The sequence below is a fragment of the Homo sapiens genome, chromosome 4 (assembly GCF_000001405.40).
Source record: "Homo sapiens chromosome 4, GRCh38.p14 Primary Assembly".
NCBI lineage: Eukaryota > Metazoa > Chordata > Mammalia > Primates > Hominidae > Homo > Homo sapiens.
Genome location: NC_000004.12, coordinates 84008240 through 84030539, shown reverse-complemented (window position 1 = coordinate 84030539; position 22300 = coordinate 84008240). Strand labels below are relative to the sequence as shown.

The 22300-nt window shown below is 36.9% G+C and overlaps 1 long non-coding RNA gene across 1 annotated transcript in view; it reads left to right on the top strand.

The window, feature by feature from the left end:
- The window catches only part of LINC02994 (long intergenic non-protein coding RNA 2994), a 331088-nt gene that overhangs the window by 268630 nt on the left and 40158 nt on the right, over positions 1–22300 (top strand). The window contains exon 8 of the long non-coding RNA NR_125909.1: positions 18421–18485. This is a non-coding gene — a long non-coding RNA (long intergenic non-protein coding RNA 2994). The remainder of the gene's footprint in view (positions 1–18420; positions 18486–22300) is intronic.

Here is a 22300-nt window from a genome sequence, read left to right as displayed (position 1 = left end):
TGCTGCACCCATCAACCTGTCATCTACATTAGGTATTTCTCCTAATGCTGTCCCTCCCCCCGCCCCCCACCCCCCGACAGGCCCCAGTGTGTGATGTTCCCCTCCCTGTGTCCATGTGTTCTCATTGTTCAACTCCCACTTATGAGTGAGAATATGTGGTGTTTGGTTTTCTGTTCTTGTGTTAGTTTGCTGAGAATGATGGTTTCCAGCTTCATCCATGTCCCTGCAAAGGTAATCCCTCACAGTTTTGGTGAGTGACTTGTTATATTCAAATTACAATATCTTCATTTCAGTCTTTCAGAGGGGAAAGCCACCAATTGAATCAGAGATCAGAGGAATTATTTTTTTAAAATGTTTTTATTCCAATAGCTTTAGGTGTACAAGTGACTCTTGGTTACATGGATAAATTGTACAGTGGAGAAGTCTAGGATTTTAGTGCACCTGTCACCCGAGTAGTGTACATTATACCCAATATGTAGTTTTTTATCCCTCATCTTCCTTCCACAACCCCTGCTTCCGAGTCTCCAATGTCTGTTATACAACTCTATATGCCTTTATGTACCCATAACTTAACTCCCGCTTATAAGTGAGAACATGCAGTATCTAGTTTTGATTCCTGAGTTGCTTCACTTGGAATAATGGCCTTCTGTTCCATCCAAGTTGCTGCAAAAGATGTTATTTTGTTCTTTACATGGCAGTAGTATTCCATGGTGTATATATACCACACTTTCTTTATCCACTCATCTGTTGATAGGCATTTAGGTTGATTTCATATCTTTGCTATTGTGAATGGTGCTACAGTAAACATACACACGCAGGTATCTTTTTGATATAATGACTTCTTTTCTTTTGAGTAGATACCCAGTAGTGGGATTGTTTAATTGAATGGTAGATCCACTTTCAGCTCTTTGAGAAATCCCTATACTGTTTTCCACAGAGGTTATGCTAAATTACATTCCTACCAGTGGCATATACGTGTTCCCTTTTCACTACATCCATGTCAACACAAAGATCAGAGAAATTTTAAGCCACTGTTCAAGTAAGTTTGCCATGCTGGGAAAGGTGGTAGGTTACTCTCTGGTGGCCAAAAAGCTAGAGAGGGTCAACCCCCTGATCAAGGAACATAAATTATTTGTTTGCTGAATTGATAGTATATGTTTACAATGTGATAGGGGGAGGGGAATCATTTCTCCTTAAAGATTGTTCCAATTCTAATAATAATTATTATTATAAACAAAGGCTATCATATAGTGCAGGAAGTCATCTAAGCACTTTCCAGGTATTAACACACTTAGCCCTCACAAATACCTTATGAGATTGGTACTTTTACTGTCCCCATTTTACAGATGAAGGAATTGAGGCACAGAGAGGTTATGCAATTTTGCAAAGACATGCAGCTGGTAAGAACTGAAACTCTCTATACTTACGCAGTCTGGCTCCAGGGTACGGTCTTTTCATTAATATAATAATTTAGTTCAGTAAGTAAGGCATCCAGCTATCTAAAAAGATTCTGTGTTCACATAGACCTATTATTAAGAAAATCTATGTCATGACATTAGCTCAGAAAAGATAATAAAAGGAGATTCATGTGGGGTTTATTTGCACAGTGAAGGGAATATTGGACTATGAATATGTGATATATGAGTAAATTTATACTCATGATTTTTATTCCACCTGACTACTAGCTGTGGATGCCTTGGTTATGTTCATTTCCTCATCTGTAAAATACAGATAATGTACCTGCCTTGTAGGATTATAAAATTAAATAAATTTTTACAGGCAAATATCTAGAGTACAGTAAATGTAAATAAATGCTATCACTAACAAGTTCAGCTCCTGTGCTAGTGATTTACCTGTTGTCTGCCATTCTCTGCTTACTCTTCTGTTTTCTTCCCAGACATGCCAGGCCTGGAGTCTGCAATCCATATTTCCCAGAGCACCTTGCCTTGGATTGCTGTAGTTAGACTACTGGAGGCACTAGAGGGAGTGTGAAAGGCAGAAGGCGGGGAGAAAGGGCTCCTTCTGCTGTCTGGTTAGTAGCAGCCTCATCCAGTAGCAAGAGACGCTGCATCTCTGGCCTCCAGCTTCTTGGGTACACCCAGCACCACTTGTGGTAAGACTCACAGGTACTTATCACAGGCATCAGCTCCTGTCACACCAAATCATCTGCCCTGATGTATCACCCTACCTTAGAAATGATAGCTGTTTCATGCAGTTCTCACAGTTTCTAATACTAATCCAGCATCACCTTTCTGTTCTTTCAGCCTTCCAACATCTAACCAATCCCCTTTATTACATCCTCACTGTTTGAAAGACCTAGAACATTTTCTGTTTTCTAGTAGGATCCCGATATTGATAGCATCTTTTAAAGCAGAGGTAATTACATCTTCTCCAGAGGTAATTATGCTCAAAACAAATAATCCTCCAGAAATCTTCATAAGTCATAAAATTTGCTTGGTATGAACATTACTTACTAACGCTTTCAGTCTGGTCTTCAGCAAATTGTGCAACAGGCCACCTTATAGTGTGGCTTGCAGTTAGACATATCTGAGTATAAGAGTTTCTGTGTCTCGTTACCTGTGTGTCTCTGAGAAGTTACCTAGCATAGGCCTTGTTTATACACCTATAAAACATGGTTAGAGATGCTAACTTTCTTGTTGTGAGAATCTCATGGAGTCATATGAAGAAATATTTGGTCAGTCATTAATCACTGTATAAATAGTTATTTCTCCAGATTCTCTTTCTGCACCCTCCTATACAGTGTCCTGCTTTGCTCACCTTCCTTCACTTTCTGCCCAACATCTTGAATCAGGATTTGTACCTTGGTCTTGTGCCAATTTTAAGACACTGTTCTACCTTCTCTTCTAGTTATTTTTCTTAGCTGTCCTTATGGAATAAAATGCTCTGAGCATTCTTCATGGAATTTGAGCGGGTATGGTAGATTCAACTCTTTGGGAGGTCAGAATCTTACTGTGATCTCTATGAGCCAGAATAATGCCCCTCCCCACCAAAGATATCTATGTTCTAATCCCCAAAACCTGTGAATACGTTACCTTACATGGCAAAAGGAACTTTGCAAATGTGATTAAGTTGAAGAGCTTGCGATGGAGAGATTATCCTGGATTATGTGGGTATTTCAAATGTAGTCACAAGGGTTTGTTATAAGAGGCACGCAAGAGCATCAGAGTAAGAGGAGATGTGATTACAGAAACAGTGATGTAATTTCCTAGGAGGCCATAAGTCAAGGAATCCAGGCAGCCTTGAAGCTGGAAAAGGCAAGGCAGTGGGTTCTTCCCCAGAGACCCCAGAAAGAACATAGTCCTGCTGCCCCTTGAGATTCATTTCAGACTTCTAACTTCCAGAACTGTAAGATGATAAATTTGTTTTCTATTAAGCCACTATGTTTGTGGTAATTTGTTATAGCAGCAAAAGGAAACTAATACAGCCTCTGAAACCATATTGTAAATACTGTTGCTTTTTCTATTCTAATTCTATTTATTCCTTTTTTTGACAAAACCAAAGTGCTCACTTAGTGGAAAATTTAAGAACACTTGTCTCTTTTGATAAGAAGAAATATGGAAGAAGAAAAGATCAAGAAAAATTAATAAATCCATAAACCGATGCTTTTCTTTCTACAGAATCATAATGTGTATAATATGCCTGTGATGACAATATTAACCGCTGTGTTACCATTAACTCGAATCTCTAACTTTTCCACTTTATGACAATAGACCATCTTCTGGTGACAACCTGAGACAGGGTTTACCAACTTAACTGCTCACAGGAACTAGGTAGGTAAGGTAAACGAATGAAGCAATCCAGGCGTTGAATTAGACAGGGACTCTGGGAAACTGAAGCAGAAGAACTGAAGGGGCTGCTTCTCAGTTGTGGACAATTGTTGCCATATCAAATGCTAGCCGCTTGTTGTTATGTAAATCCCCTCTCTTTTTAAATAATTACTCAAAATGTTAAAAATATTACTATAATATGTTTGTCAAAAAAGCCACTTCAACCTTTATAGTAATCTGCTGCCAGTCTTCCATTTGTGGCCTTTGCCTTTAGTATCTTACTACTTATTTCCTCCCTTGCAAACATCTGATGCAACGTAAACCAGAAAGTCCAAACTCTTTAGGTGGGGGTCCAGATCTGGTTGGTCTTAGCTTAGAGCCCAGACAACCTGGATGACTTACAAGTCCTCACCCTCAGCCTGTGGGTCCCTTTCTCTTTCCTTCCTCCTTCCAGCCTGAAATCCCTCCCCATCTGCATTTCTTAATCCTTTCCACCCTTGAAAGTCAAGTTCTAGTGCCAGCTCCCTATGAAACGCCCTGGGCACTCCCAGCTAGAAATGAGGTTCTTGCTCCTTGGTACTCCCTCAGCACACTCTGCCTTGTGCTCTAGTTATCTGAGTCCATTTCTTACCTCCCCATCTAAACTGTGACATCCTTGAAGATAGGACCTGGCTCCCTCACCTTCAGGCTTTTGAGAGCTTTTGCAGGTACTGATTATTCAATCTACAGTTGTTAACTAGATGGGCTTTGAGGGAATCTGTGAGAGGAGGAGGATACTGGGTATTCTGTAGGTCCTACTAGGCAGTACAAGAGCAGGTAGCACAGTGGAAAATGTTTTGGAGTCAGAGACCTGAGTTCAAGTTCTGATCTTGACACTTACAAGCTTCCTGACCAGTGGTAGCATGTTGCTTTCCATTTGTTAATTTCAATTTTCCCAAATGCCCACCTCACTTTTTTCAGAAATAAAAGAAATAACATATGGAAAGTCTAGCACAATGCTGGGTGGACCCCATGGGCACAGTCTTGCATACTATCTCTCTCTCACACACACACACAACAGGTCTAATTAGAAGTTTCCAGAAACCTCTTTTCTCTGAATGATGTTTCAGTTCAACTTTATGGGACCAACACCTAGGTATATCTTTTTTCAACCAAGAAGGAAAGTTGAAAAATTACCACAAAATTCTATGACCCTGCTTCAGAGTTATGAAGGACCTTTCCTTGAAATTTTCACATTTTTCTCTGCTGAATTCTTTTTTTCAGCCATTATCACATTAGCCTAAGAAAACAGAACATGAGAATCAAACCACCCCCCACCCCCAGATAAAAACAAAACAAAACAAAACAAAAAACTGAAGCAAAAAGAGGGACCAAGTTTGTAGTTTGTAGATCATCTCATTAGTCTCACTACCTTGAAATCTTTATGTCCAGCTCTTGTGGGCCAGAGCTTGTTTTCCTATCATGATGGTAGAGATAAGTTCCTGGACCTTATGGATAATTTCAGGGAGATATGTGATTCTAACCTCTGAATGCCAGGCTGACTTTGACAATTCATAGGCTAGCTTTGGGAAAAACAGCCTTTGATCATCTCAGCTGGAGCTAACTTTATTAGGAGTGCTTATTGAAGAGTGTGCACACACTGTCCTTTTTGCCCACCCACCGTCTACCCAAGACGATGTAGTGGCACATGGTCTCTTCTGACTCACGGGAATCGTGCCTCAGGTTTATTTGATTTCTTATTAAAGTCCAGCTCCTTCTATAATGACTTGTCAGCCGCAGTCCTCATCACTTAATTGTCAAAGGAGCAACACACCAAGATCAAAGCAGCTGAGACGATAGAAGAAAAATATTAGGATAGCAAAAAGAAAAGAAGAGAAGGAACAAAGGAGGGAAGAGTACAGAGTAGAATGGGATTATATCATGACTCCAGGGTATCTCCTTCTATTGCTTTATGTCTATTAAACCTTCACAGCCAAGCACCTTATATACCTAAGATTCGTGGACAACATGGGGCTCCTGGGCAAGTTATACTGCATATCCCCAAAGAGAGGCCAGTAAACTTTCAGGGGCTCAGCCATGACTGCTGTCTCTGGACTTTGAATACACATTTCCCACTGGGTTCTGTTTGGCCACTGCCTGGCTTCGCAGCTGTGCTGATTGCTCAGTAGGGAATGCCATGTCTGTTCTCCAAAGGAATTTAACAAATTAACTATGAACAAAGTCACTTGGACATGACATAGATTCACACATGCTGTGTCATGCCAAGGAGAAGCTTGTCAGCTTGCTGTTTTCACAGATATGAAAAGAAAATTCCCAAGACCCACCAAATGGATGGAAATACAACTATGTTTAGAAAAGAAGTCAGGAGATGAAATGAGAGAAAAGGGCAGCACTGCAGGCCAAGATGAAAATCCGTAGCTAGACCTACATTAACAAGGTCACACAAAAAGTGTATTAGTGATAGGAAAAAAAGTTTACATTAAGTAAATCCTCACAGATTAGTATAATATCTATATACATACAAAGATATATGCAATGATTTTAAACCAAACAATAAAAGAGGAACTATTTGACAGAATGCATGGTTCCAGGGTTTGTGTTTGGTATTTTATGGACATGATCTTATTTTAATTCATACAATGATAATTCATACAATAAAGTACATGTTAGGGTGGGAAGATAGTGGGGAAGACTGAAGCTCAAAAAAAGTTAAAGAAGTTAAGTAAGTGCAAAGTTCACATGTTGTATGATTTTATTTATGTGAAATATTCAGAATAGATAAATCCATAAAAATGGAAAGCAGATTAGTGGTTTTCAGGAGCTGGGAAGAAAGGGGAATGGGGAGTGACTGCTTAATTGGTACAGATTTCCTCTTAGAGTGAGGAAAGTGTTTTGGAATCAGATAAAGGTAGTGATTACACAACTTTGTGAACATACTAAATGTTACTGAACTATACACTTTAAAATGGTTAGTTTTATGGTATGTAAATTTTATACCAATTAAAAGAAGACGTTACATAAATTTGTCTAGAATTACACAGCCACTAAGTGATAGGGCCTAGATTGGAATCCAAGCTTGCCTAAATCAGGTTCACAACAAAAGATGAATAATAGATAAATTCATCAGTGGTTCCTATATAGAATTAACTGTACTTCCAAACATATAGTATTCTTATATTGACCCTGGCACTTGGTGTACGCCACTTCTTCCATATCATTTCTCCTCAGTTCACCAGCTCCAGACAGTCACCTGATTAACTTATCCTGTAGGATTCTTTCTGGATCACCATGACCATAACAGACACTTGCATATATTATTTACTGGGCTGTATTTTGGCCCTAATTTATTTGTGAGACAAAAAAAAAAAAAAGGTTTATCATGATGGTTAAGTTCAATGTCCTGATTAGTTAAAAGCAAGAACTAAATTATTGCCAGAGTGTATTTTTATAATGACTATCTCTAGGTAGTGGAAGATCATTTTTAAATGCATTTTTAGATTTATCTTTATTCTCCAAATTTTCTATGTCAAATGTAAATAAGCATTAGATTCAAAAAAAATTCTTAAAACTTTCTATCAACTTTAATACATTCATGGTGTATAGAAGTATATTTAATTTTGTCATAACCCCCATCATTATTGTCCTTGTGTTATTTTCAAACACCATCACTGAAAACGCAAAAGAAAATATTTATTTGCTTTATTACATTTATCTTTAATTTGTAGTACTTCAATACTGTTTGTTAAAAACAAAAAATTAAAAATTATCTAATCTTAAATTCATATTTTAAAAAATCATATTTTTAGCTATGTTATAGGTTTAAAGGGCTTTGTGAACTGGACTAAAATCCAACCAGCACTAATACATTGTTTGTGTGGGTAAATATAGCCTCAAATCTCAACAATCCACATAGAAAAACTCTAAATACAAACCTGCTCAAGTGGGTAACTGCCTGTGCTGTTTGTCTCCCACGGAGCCACTGGCGCTATTGTGGATGAGGTAACCAAGGTCAGAGGGGTTAAATGATGTACTGGAAGCCTCACAGCTAATTATTGCCAAGTTTAGCACTCAATTCTTCAGAAGCACTAATTTCTCAATCACAAATTTAAAGCATAACCAATGTTGGGGAAGTGACGTTTATTTTCCAAGAGAATCGGAATATTTTCCACACGCTTGTACAGGAGACACCTCGTCCCCTGCAACTGTTAACAATCTGCCACTTTCTAGTTATTTTAAGTTGGGCCCTGTCAACTTTACTAATATTGCAGAACGCTGATCTCCTAAAGGCCAGGAACAGTTTGCCAGGAAGCAGCTATGGCAGCAAAGCACAGATAAACGAGCTAGAGGTCATAGATGGCACTGGATTTTCATGATGAAACTGCACAGCCATGTTTAACACTGCATAAATTCCTAGATTGGGACAAATAAAATTTTGATTGATTACAATAAACCCTTAAATGAAAAAGCAGTATGTTTTTGTTTGACTTAATTTGAAGCATACTAAAATTGTACTCTATTTCTACAAGGAGTGGATAGCAAGAATGTTCAAGGGGCTCAGCCTATTTTTTAAGCTGTCATTAGAAATGATTAATATTTAAGAGAAATCAATAAAAATTGAATTTGAAAAAAATCAATATTTAAGCAAAAGCATTACAAATCACATGACTAACATTGACACCCTTCGTATATTAAAAAGGTTTGTTTTTCTGTGGCATGTGGGTGAAGCTGCAGCTGTATGAAGCAAAATTCTAAAGTGGTGATGTATTAGTGGGAGCCATAGGGATAAATCATTTTGAAAATCAACCTCAGTCCTTTAAGAAAAAGAAAAGCATTGGAATAAATGCCAGCAAATATTAAATCTCACTGTCAAATATATATTAAATGTAAGTATATATGGATTTGTACATACATCTATTTCTAGCAATCTTTCTTCCACCCCTTCTTGCTCACACAGTGTCTATGTCCAAAAAGCAGTTGTGATTATTTAAAATGGTAAATATAGTTGTATTTCATTTTAGTTGTGATACATGAAAAGAATAACAGTATTGCTAAGTTCAGAAACCATGCTACTCTCACAACCCCAAAGGACTCTCCAAACAAATATATACTCTTTATAACTAGTTATAACTTCATCCTCAATTTACTGTAGGGTTTTCTACCCTGGTGACCTAAACCAGATCATGCATGAGCTGCACAATCTCTTCTTGTCCCTTCAAACATTAGTGTCCCCAAAACTGGGCCCTTCTCTAGTTTGTACCTCACTTTTTAAGAGCAGCCTAGTCTCATCCCAAGAGACATGCTACCCTAGCAATATCTGCCTGTCCTAACTACATGTGACCCAAGAAAAAACAATGGAAGAGAACATTTGCATTTATTCTTCTATTTATAATTCTCTTACTACACCCCCCCATTTTAAGATCACTTCTATCGTTTCACCCAGATGTCTTTTCACCCTCGTGCCATTTTGCTCTTCCCCATGTTCACTCTGTCTTAGCCAAAGTGGCCTCGACAGACAAAGAAGCGTTTGCTTTCTTAAAGGTCAATCCATCTACCAAATACCTCTTCTGTGACATGTGTTCTTAGCCCGAGGTTGTTAAGAGACTTTGAAATCTAAATCCTTCAAGCATTAGTAATACAGGTTTTCTTGTTGCTGTACATGGGTATTTCTGCTAATTAAATATTATCTCTATTAATAAATGGGCTAGGTCTTGACCCAAATAAAGTGCTGAGATATACACACAATTTAAAGGTGTAAACCAAAATGTATCTGAGACAGATCTTAATTAATTTAGAAGTTTATTTCCCCAAGGTAGAGATAAAGGAAAAGATAAAGGATCATGACCTATGACACAGCCTCAGAAGGTCCTGAGAACCAAGGTGATTGGGTTGCATCTTGATTTTATATATTTTAAGGCACAGAAGTTATAGGCAAAGACATAAATCAATACAGGCAAGGTATACATTGGTTCGGCCCAGAAAGATGGGACATCTCAAAGCAAGGATCTTCCAGGTCATAGGTGGATTAAAACATTTCCTGATTCGCGGTTGGCTGAAAGGGTTAAGCTCTGCCTGAAGAGTTGAAATCAGCTGGAGTTAAGGTAATGGAGGGGTTGTAGAAGCCAAGGTTCTTACTATGTAGATGAAGCCTGCATGTAGCAGGCTTCACAGAGAATAGATGTGAATGTCTCACTGGACCTTAAAAAGTGTCAGACCTCATAAAGGAAGGAGATTCTCTACAGAATGCCAGTGTCTCCCAAAAGAGACAGCTTTGCAGTGCCATTTCAAAATATGTCAAAGAAATATATTTTGGGGTAAAAGACTGATCTCCTTCAGGGCCTGCTCTCTGTCATATGATGTTATTACAGAGTGAGAAATTTGATGTCTTATTGCTGCAAAGAGTCTATTTTATCTGTGCTAAGATCTTTGTTTTAATGTTAATGATGATCAGTTGTGTCTAAACTCCAAAGGGAGGAGCGTATAGTGAGACATGTCGAACTTCCACGTCCTCATCATGACCTGAACTAGTTTTTCAGGTTTGTTTGGATCCCCTTGGCCAAGAGGAAGGTCCATTCAGTCAGTTGGGGGCTTAGAATTTTATTTTTGGTTTACAAAACAAAATAAAAAGGTGCTTCTAATATGATAGACATTTTACCATAATTGAATAGTTATATAGGAAGAATAAAAGGGGACTGGAGAAAATTATAGTATTATGAGTATAAATATTAACTTGTTTGAAATTCTTCTGGGGTGCTTTCGAGAAGGAGACTTTATATTTCCTTACTTTTTTTATTCTGAGGCTATTTAACTTCTTGCCAATTACTACATACAGTTCAGTCAATCCAATTGCCTTTTAGTTAGAAATTAATCTTTGAGACATTCGAATGGACTAGTTTTTTAAGAACCTGTAGAATATGACAAAATGCAAAGTCAGCTGAATGATTGACTTTGTTAGGAAGAATATGGTCAACATCTATCTCCTGAAATATCATTGAATCAACCCTGCTTGTAGTCTACTGAAAACAATGTGAACTGGGATTTTTTTTTTGCTCCAGGCAAAGGCCACTATCTCTGTCTGAGTCTCCAGTTCAGGAAGATCATATATAGAATGGTGGAAAGCAAAGAACACCTACCCAGTTAGCAAAATCATATGAATCAAATAGAATGATCTTTTGGATAGCAGAGGTTATTTCCAGCTCAATCTCATATCTAGAATCAAATAAAATGTATTTCTATTGTGTGTTCTTATTCTAGGCACTATGTTATTATTAAGTTAGTTCACTCATTAATGCATTTATTAACTCATGCATTCATTAACATACACTTAAGTTCTACTGTATGACTTAGTAAGAAGACACACATTTAAACAAATAACTAGAGCATATAATGACTATAATGGGGGAAAATCTTAGGATATTTTGGGAGCAGAGGGGAGAGATGTTTAATTCACATTGGAGGGAGAGGTCAGGCATGACGTTAAAAGAGGAGACACCTGAAATTAATTTTAGAGCTTGACTATGCAGAAGGGTCAGAGGAAGCATTAGTAGGTGAATGGATGTGAGTCCCAGAATGTTGTATGTGCTGTTTCGTGTTAGAATAGCACTTTCAAGGCTAGGCAGTGCAACAGGTGAGGCTGGAATGACAAGCAAGGTCTAGCACACTGACGGCTTCTTTGCAATTCTAAGGAATTTGGATCATATCCAATAGGGGATGCAAAGCCTTTGAAAGATTTTAATTAAAGGAGCATTAAGTCAGATTTGAAATATGGATTATTTCCTATAGTGCCTCAGTGGTGAAATGGGATTTGAGGTAGACAAAACTAAAGCAGGAAAGTGATTCCAAAGCTGCAGTAGTAACCCAGGTAGAGATATAAGGAGAGTCAAAAACTGGAGGGAGGTGATAAGGTTGGAGACAATGGGGTGAATTCGATAAATATTTAAGCTATAAAATTTGCAAGACTTAGTGAGTAATAATAAATGGGTGTTGGCATTGGAGTCTGAGGAAAAGGGCAGCATCAAGAATGATAGGTTTCTAATGTGGGTAACTGTTGATGTCACTCAAATGGAATAATAAAGAATCTACAATGGGTGTCTTAGTCATTGTAAGCTACTATAATACAATAGCATGGACTGGGTGGCTTAAACAACAAACATTTATGTCTCACGGTTCCGGAGTCTGGAAATTTGAGATCAGGGTGCTAGTATGGTCGAGGTCTTGGTAAAGGCCCACTTTCCTGGTTTAAAGATAGCTGACTCCTCATTGTACCTTCACATGTGCATTGGGGGTGAGGGTTGACAGAGAGAGACAGAGAGAGAGAGAGAGAAGCAAGCTCTTCCCTTATCTCTTCTTGAAAGGCTTTAATCTCATTTATATGGGCTCTACCTTCATGACCTGATCATCTCCCATAGGCCCCACCTCGAAACACCATCACATTGGAGGTTGGACTTCACCATATGTATTTTGTTGAGGCACAAACATTCAGTCCATTAGCAATGAGAGACACGTTTAGGAAGAAGGTGTTCTTTTCAATCAGTTTGAATTTTGAACATTATGAATTTCAGTTACATAAAAAGTATCTGTCCTACCAGAAAGCAGTTGACTTTAGGAACTTGAAGCAGCAGAAAGTCTGCTCTAGAGATAACATTGTAGAAATGACCAATATAATGACAGTGGCTTAAAATACAAAAGCAGATGAGATCCAATCCCCTAATTCACTTTGACAATGAAAATATGGTTTTGCTCCCATAAACACAGCTTACAGTGGTTGCTTTTTAGCCAGGCTCTGAAAAATACTAGGGACATTTTTTATTTTTTCCTCCTTTCTTGAAAGAATATTTTAATGACTCTTTTTCAAATTGTGTATCATGGCTGTTAATGGATTGTGAAATAAATTTAGATGATTATGATAAATATTCATTTTGAACCAAATGGAAGAGAATAAAATAGACTGGAATAGAGAAGTCTAGAAAATAAAGTGCATAGTATTAATCTCATATAGTACTTTTGTATGTGTGTATAAAATTAAACAAAATTTAAGAATACTTACCCTTACTTTATGAGATGCATCTTACTATAAGAAATGTTTTCTCTTCCATTATATTATATTCTGCATGTGTGTGTGTGTGTGCGTGTGTGTGTGTGTGTGTGTTTGCTCTGGGTTGGAGTGTTTGGGATGTAGTCAAAAGCATTTGAATTATCTGGCCCAGACTTAGAGAAATTCAAAGTGGTCTCTTTTAGATTGGGAGAGAAAAGAGAAAATAAAGAGTACTCTAAAAGTAGCAAGTTAATATTTAACACAGTCAGTGTACATTTGTATTTAGGAAAACAGCTAGAAGTAAGGCAGAGGCAAACAAGTCATAGGTTAAGAAAGAGGCAGAACTACATACAAGTAAAATAAATAATGTTATGCCAATGTGTATAGAACTCTGGTTTAAATAAAGTTTATTGTAATAAAAAAGTAGATAAGATCAACTAAGAATATGGTATAAAGGTAGGGCTGGGGGAAGTACTGGATTAAAGGTGAAGCCTTAAGGTACATCAGAAAAATATTGGTGAAGTAAGAAGTGTCCGCAAAGCAATTTGAGCAGCAATTATTAGAGTTATAAGGAGAGGCAAAGGAGTGGGCTGTCATTAAAGACAAGAATAGTAAAGAGATTCAAGATTCCCCTAAACTCTGCAAAATCCCCACTTCCAAAATCTCATAGGAGAGGTTGTCATAAAAATGTCAAAAAAGTGAATGTCTGGTTTGGTTTCCTCTTCCTTTGTAAAGCCTTCCCTTCGACCTGTATTTTATACTTTAAATTAAAGTAAATTAAAATTAATTTTTAATTTAAAGCTTTATAACTTGAACGCAAATAAAGATTACAAAACTAAAATGAGGAATCATGACCTAAGAAGGTATGGGTTTTCCTCTGACCATGGAGGAGCTGAGAAAATCATTTTGTTAAAACTTCTTATCAGAGGATTTGATTAAACTTTGGGTGAGAGGAAAGCCTCAAATATCAACAGCTTTAGAAATACAGAAATTTACTTCTCTGTCTGTTGGTCAAGAAGATCCAGGGAAGATATGGAGCTCCACAGTGATATTGACCCAGGCTCCATTGGGTGTGACTTTCATTCCCAAGATCATCTCATTATCAAATATGGTAGCAGGTGTGGGAAGTGGAGAAAAAGGGCACATTCCCTCCCTTTAAGGACACTTCTCAGAGTTCCATGCATCACTTACACATATGTCCCATTGTACAGTTTTTAGTCACATGACCACACCTAGCTAGAAGGGAAACTAGAATATATAGCCCTTATTCTGAGCTGTTTTGCTCCAAGCTATAAATCTAGGGTTCTATTACTAAAAAATGAAAGAAGAAAAGAAGAGCTATTGGACTAAAACTAGCAGCTTATGACAGCAGTTTGTTATTCTCTTAAATTCTATATAAACTCTGTATACCATAACAGAGTCCAAGCAACTTTAGAGTACCATTATCCAAATTAAAAACAGTCCTCTGTCTAGAGTGGTCTTTCTTATTCTTCCTAGGATGCAATACTTTCTGCGCCAAAAGTGAGAAAGTCCTGGGCAAAATGGGGTGAGGTTTGCCACAGGGAAAGATTTCCAGATTTGAATGGAATAGGGCAATTTCATAAGTCATTTCAATCAGGCAACAGATTTGTACTATTAATGAAGAAGTTAATAAAAACAAGACATGAAGAAGTTAATAAAAACAAGACCCCCCCCCCCAAAAAAAAGAACTAGCTGTGTGCCACTCTACCTTTGACATAGTCAAAAAATTTATTTTCATATTTTCAACAATACTGCCACTCCTAAAATCAAGCTTGGAATGACTATTTGAAATAAGTTTTCAAAGCCTAAAGCTGGTTTATGTGAATATTCTATGTGGTAGAAAATCTCCATCTTTGCCATCTTTGCCGGCAGATTTCATTTCTCCAAATATCCAAGACTCATTTGGAGGCAAGTCTGGTAAAGAAGGTTAGGCAGGAAAATACTCTTAACTGTAACTCCAAAACACACTTTAGGAAATATTTAAGCATTGACAATATTGTTGAAATAAGACTTAAGTCTCCTCACAAGATGACTTCAAAAGCAAGTAATTGCAAAGAAAATGACTTCCTGCTTTACTGGCATACCCCCATATATTTTTCAAAAATCAATATAGTTCAATTAACACATAATGAAAGACTGCATTATATTTAATTGTTTTGAAAATAAGATTTTCTCAAGCATATCTGTATCTGAAACTTTTTTAAAAGGCATTTTAATTTTTAGTAAACTTGCATTATTTTTAAATTGTGATTCAAAGCCAATGTTATACAAGAGATCGTTTCCATTACAGTTCTGGACTTGTCCTTAACTATAAGCCAAAGAGAGCCCAGCGAGTGGGGAAGGTCACTCCTGCACAACCTGCGATGGAGTAGGCTTCTCTTTAGCCACAGAGGGAGGAGAGGCCAAGGACCTGCTCCAACTTAATCTTTACTTGTCAAATCTGGACCATATTTTATTTCACAGAACCAGAAACAATATCTCAAAACACTTGCTGTAGGGAAGACTTCCAGATTTGAGTGGAATAGGGCAATTTCATAGGACACTTTAATCAGGCAACAGATTTGTACTATTAATGGAGAAGTTAGTAAAAACAAGTACCCCAATAAAAAACTACTTGTGAGCTGGCATTTTAGACCCTTTGGAGCTGAAGAGTTTGTTATTTTCATTGACATGTAGCCAAAGAAAAATAATTTTACTACTGAGAAAAGAAAATGCATTTTACCAACTTCATCATATATGAATACAAGCTTCTAGAGTGAAAACCTAGGAAACTAATAAGCAACTATTTGGCAAAGGGAAAAGAGGCAACATTTAGGTCTTGAAAGATTTTGCTCTCAAACTAAATTACATCTTATCCCTTGCTTTACGCAATATATATTTGATTCTGCTTAGATTTTTCTATTTGCCACAAAAAATGAAGACCTTTGATCTCACTCCATTGCTTTTCTGATGAACTCTTTTCCACCTTATAAATGGAGGTAATTTTTTGTTTCACTTTGGTTTTTATTGGAGTCAGTGTGGTGGATGCTAGCAGGATAGCAACTTCTGGCAACCACTTTTCTTGTGCTTTCTACCTTTGCCTAGCCACTTGTGTCTACCATAACCCTAATCAAGATATTGTCTCCCATTTTTCACATCTCTTCACATAAGGTATATATAAGAATAGTTATCTTTGTATAGCAGTTTGTAATTTGCAAAATGCATTCTAAATCAACATATCATTTTATGATCCCAATAACCCTACTAAGTTGCTATTTACTTTACCTGTTTTACAGACAAGGAAATTGAGGTATACAATGTTTAAGCCTCTCACTAAAGATCTCACAGCAAGGAAGGGGCTAAAAATTCAGTTTTTCTGGGCCTACATTCAACATTGTTTTCTAATGCCAAAGATTCTATTGAAAAGTTATCAGAATTCCTTTAGGCTGCTTATCGAGGACAAAACTGAAACCTGCTTTGTGTTGTTCATTCTGTTACTGTGAGAGAGATAAACTAAATATTGATGTTCTTCAGCAAAGATCAGCCAGAGTCTAAAAATGAACACCCACATGCACGCATACACATACACCAAGCAAGGGGAAGCAGATAGTTGATTCTCTTAGAGTAATATATGATTAAGCCTGTAGATCCTGTCCACAGAAAAAGGCATGTGCCTATATAAAAACATTTTCAGACAATTTCTGGGAATTCTCTAAGTCCCCTTAACTCATCTGTGTACAGCTGTAGATAGAACCCCTATTGCACTGAAACCTTTTCGTTCCCATGGACACCTAAATCTAATCTATTTTACCAATGAAATAGGCATTTTCTCATTCTCCTCTTACTGGGTTGCTCAAAAACCTTAGACTCTGCTTTCCATTCCTTCACTCATGAAACATTTTCCTTTGGCTTGTGTGAGGGCCCAGTAAGTTTCCCTCCTATTTCTCTGACTATCTCAGAGTTTCCTTCACTAGCATATTCTTCCTACCTGGTCGTTGGATGTTGGGAAGCCCTCAAGGTTTGGCTGTAAGATCTTCTCAATTTTTAATGATTCCCTAGATGACATTGTCAATGCCTGTGACTTGAATCATCAGAGCAAATAGATGACTCCCAAATTTCCAGCAAATGTATTTCCAGCCCAGGCCATTTTTGTGCATGTCAACTTAATAATCAATATTCCCTTGGAGGTGTCAAAGACATTTCTATCTGTACCTGTTCAAAATACAACTCATGTGTTGTTCCTACAACGTAGTTCCTCATTTCTATTCGATCTCAGTGGCTGGCATCAGATTCCTTCTAGTTTCACAGAGCAGACAGCTAGTAGTAGTAATGGTGTGAAACAACTGTTTATCATTGCCCTCAATCTAATCCATTAAGAAATACTGCCTGAGTATGTCTATCACTATTGCCACTGACCTCACCCAAGTGGACATGATGACTGGTGGGCAATAGCAGTAACCTCCTAATTGATTTCCCCATATCCATTCTTGACCACTTCACATTCATTCTTTAAGTTATGAAGGGAGTTTTGGAAAATGCATTCTTCCTTTATGAAAGGGAGCTTTGGAAAATGCAGTTGATCATTCCAGCTTCCTATGTAAGACACTTGAGTCATTTACTGATATCCTTAGGATAAAAAGTAGTATCTTTAATATGATCTTAAATGTGCCATGCATGATTAGCCTTACTCGCCACCTTTCTTACTTTTCACTGTATGCTGACCCATCACATTACCTCTCTTTCTGAATTTGTCATATGCCTTCCTTTGCTCAGGTCTCTTGGACAGCCAGTTGATCCCTTCTGCCCAGAATGCTCTTTCCTCCCCTTACCTGCAACACTCTCCTAGTTATCATCTATTCAACCTTCAGCACCCAGTTCAAATGTTATTCCGTTTCAAAAGCCCTCCCTGATTCCGCAGATGTAGATTAGCTTCTCTGCAATCCTTAAGTCTTTGTCTTGCTCTTTCTAGTATTCATCATGGTTTATATCTATGGATTTGTATAATTGTGTGATGATGCTCTTTCTTCCACACTGATATGAAAGCTCCATGTGGAAAGAGACTCCATCTTCTTTACACTGAGGAATAATTAATTAACCTATAGAAAGTGTACATCTTCATAGGCATACAGTTCAAGATACTATGGGCATTCTAATCAGGGTATAGAACATTTCCATCAACCCAAAAAGTACTTCTACACTCCCCATTAGTCAACCCCGCTAACCTCCAGGGTCGATTCTCACTCTGATTTCTATCGCCATAGATTAGCTTCTCCTGTTCTTGAATTTTTATCAATAGAATCACATAGTATGCATTTTTTTTTGGTCTGGCTTTTTTCATTCAACATATGTCCGTGGGATTTACTCATGTTGTGTTTATCAGTAGTTTGTTCTTGGTACTGATGAATTCATTGGGTGAATCTATCACAATTTGTTTGTTTAATCTTCTGTTAATGTACATTTAAGTTGTTTTTTGTTTTTTACTGTTATGACTAAGGCTGCTTTAAACACTATACAAGTCTTTTAATGGACATAAGTTTTTTAGGACATAGAACAGTGAAGACTGAGATGTAATTATTTGGTTTTATTTTGTTTATTTTTCAGAGATTATAAGCAATTTCTCCATGGCTGGAATTCAGTTGATCTGGGACTGAACCTATTTCTAATGGGTAAATACTTAGGAATAGACTTAAGCGTTTGTAAAATAAGCATATGTTTAACTTTATAAGAAAGTCTCACACAGTTTTCAAAGTCTTTGAACTATTTTACTATCTTACCAGCAGTGTATAAGAAGTTCCTTTTTGTGTCTTTTTTCTCCAATTGCTTTTGAGATTTTCCTTTATTTTGGTTTTTAATAATTTAATTATGACATCTCTCAATGTGGTTTCCTTGATATTTATCCTGATTAAGATGCATTGAGTTATTGGATTTATACATTATTACTTTCATCATACTTGGAAAATTTTTCAGTCATTATTTCTTCAAGTAATGTTTTGCCCTAGTCTCTTTTTCCTTTCTTTCTGGGACTTCATAGCTTATAATAGCCCTAAAGATTTGTTTGCCTGTGTTTATTTTCAGTGTTTTCTCTCTATTCTAGTTACTTTTTAAGTGATGTATCCTAAGATTTACTGATGCTTTTTTCCTCCTATTCAATTTAATGTTAATTCCACCCCATAAAATGTTGATGGTAGATATCTTATTTTTTATTTGTAACTTTTCATTTAATTATTTTTGAAAACTTCTATCTCTCTCCTGAAATATTCCGTATTTTCATCATTACATCTCCTTTTTTCTGTAAATCCTTTTGCATTTTTATAATAGTTGTGTTAAGTTACTTCTGCTAACTGGGCCCTCTGTCAGTCTTCTATTGAGTGTATTTACTTTTGATTATATATCACATTTTCGTGCTTTCTCACATATAGAAACTCACATGTACTTTTTAGGACATGAAACAGTGAAGACTGACGTATAATTATTTCCTTTTATTTTCTTATTTTTCAGAGATTATAAACCATTTCTCTATGGCCAGAATTAAGTTGATCTGAAACTGAACCTTAGCTTTCATTAGACTGAGCTTATCTGTGATTAGCCCAACTTCCAATCTCCCATAGCAAGATTAACTATTTGACCTTGTCGATATTAAGCTAGAACAAAGTCGGGTTATAGTTTCAAAGACTTTTAATTCCCCTTTTATTCAACTTAAGCAGAGCCTTAGAATTCAAGCCTCCCGAATGTGCAGAAGTTTGCAACTTCTCTCTGATTTCCAGATCTTCTGCCACTGCCACTTTCCTGGCAAAATTTGTGGTGGGAAAATTTTTTCAGGTCAAACCACTTGTTTTTGGGATCTCTGTCTCTTTTGGATTCCAACCTGTCCCCAGCCCAAATTATTGTCTAAGAATCAGCTGATTTCTTTTCATTACTGCAATGTCTGTGTGCATATGTCAACCTAATTCTTCCATTCTCTCCACTCAAATTAGGAAACTGCCTTATGGTATAGAAGCTGTCATGGTTTTCTGCTCACCTGTGAAACTTTCATTTCCTTCTGGAATTCAGTTTATCAGGGCTTCCTTTGTTCCTTGCTCTTTGCTAGCCCCATAGAAAATATTGTTTTTTATTTCTGTCTGTGGGTTTCTTGCATGTGGGTTTCATCAGGGTGAAGGTCCTTTGCATCTTTCTACATCTCAGCTGGCAGTAAAACGCCAAAATCATGTCTTTTATGCTCACCATTAAATCTCTAGTTATGGAAACAAAGAAATCTCTCTAAAATATATGTAGACCGTAAATTTAAATAGAGTGAAGTTGAATCAAGTATGTGGAACAAATAAAGTGTGATATTCACAGTACACGGGAAAAAATAATAGATGGTAGTCCAAGACCAAAATATTGTTAAGGGTGTTTTTAACCAGGGTGTTGTCCTTGAAAAGTCAAGTGATGCTTGGTGGTAATATTCATGACCAGGCACTACTTCTAGATCAGAACAAGTACGTAGTTAGGGGAATTCTCTCAGGTGACAACATTAGATAGATAAAAATTTAGGCCTTGAGAAAAATGGCAATAACTCTTGAATCCATCATCCTAATGAATGAAGACCATAAGGGAAACATTTCTTATGAAGAATATACCTGCCCAATGGCTCAAAGCTCTCCACTAACATGGCCTTTTTGATGAAAGGTTGTGTTATCCACAACTAGGTTGCTTTTCTTTGTTTTTTCTTTTGCTTCAGTCCCAGATCCTCTGTATCTATCCCATTTACTTGGAAATCTGAAACTTTTAGGATCTTACCAATAGTTTGAGAGGTGATTGAGCCTGCACATGAAGTGCAAGTGTCCCCATGCTGTGTGGAAGGAAAATAGGTAAAGTCTAGGAATCAAGCCAAAGCTGGGATCTTGCCATCCACGTGGAAAAAGAGTTAACCTATTAGAAGCAATGCATGGAATAATACTCTTTATTCCAAAACTTCTCGGGTTTCCTAATCTAGAAAGCATATGCAGATTAAAATGATAGAAGATATTCAGTCTTTCCATTACATATTATGCCCCACTATTTTTATTAAATTAAAAAGAAGTAATTTTTAAAAAATACTTGCTAGCAACAAATGGCATAGAATCTATCTGGATCCCATCAAGTACTGTTCAAGTGCCCCTTTATCTCCCATATGCAGAGTGTGCCACATGTCCTAACCCCCAAAGGAAAGCTATGAATGACTCTGAGCCAGCCGGGCGTCAAATAGCCTTTATCAGGTCCATTCTCCACTGGTGCCAATGATACTACTGTAATACTAAAATGCTTATATCAATAACATTGTATTGAAGTTGATGTTGCTATGCTGAAATTGGCATCATCTTATTGGCATCAAGCCTATTGGCCTAGCTCCTCTGTGGGCAATCATTATTGCATCTAAAGGATTTATTCAATGTCTGTTTCAGTGCATTTCTCTCCTGGACCTGCTTTTTAACATCTGACAATACATGATAAGCAGTAGTGGCAGCCAAAGACCCAGATAGTGAAATCAACTTTCCATAAGGATATGCGTATGTGGAGAAAAAAATATGTTTATTGCAAAGAGGTGATTGAATAGAATATTGTGAAAGAAATGAGGTCAAAGGAAATGTTCTCCTCTTTCAACAGGCCCAGAAAGTTTTCCCTAAAGTAGGAAGATGTCAGAAACTCTAAAGAAAGAAAAGATAGTATATGAAACATATGATGATTACGTGTGAGTTTCAAAGGTTATGTTTCACAAAATGTGTTCAACTGATGTAAAAGGGCAACTATATGATCTACAGAGAATGGAGAATAATTATCCCATTTTTATTGATTACCCCAACTGACTAATAGAGCCCAAGCATACTTCAAGCAGACACATAGGTCCTTACTGCTTTATCATGAATTTACATAATGACTGGCTGGTGAGGGTAGATGTAAATAAGTTTAGACATAAAAGGTCATAATTGGATCCACTTCCACATAGACATTTTCTTTGCTTCTGACTCTTCAGTCATTATTTCATGTCATGCCTTTAGCTTTAGACACTGTGGACAGTCCTCTGTACTACTTAGGTCAACTCTTTCCTTGACACAAACCTTGTTCCCCCTATTTCATTGACAAAATATCAACTACTTTGTCTAAAGCTCTGATTTAATTTTTAAAAACATATAAGTCTAACAAAATAAGAATGACTTAGGGATAAATCTAACAAGATATGTAAAAGATCTATATATGAAAAACTATAAAACTCTGACATAGGAAATAAAAGATTTTTAAAAATTAATATAAATGTCATGCTCATGGATTAGAAGACCCATTATTATTTAAATGTCAATTCTTCCCCACTTGATCTGTAGAGTCAAAAAAACTCAATAAAAATTCCAGAAAGTGATTTTGTGAATATTGATAGGCTGTTTCTAACATGTATATACAGAAAGCCAAAAACCCAGATGAGTCAACACAATACTGAAGAAAAAGAACCAAAGTTGAAGAACTGGCA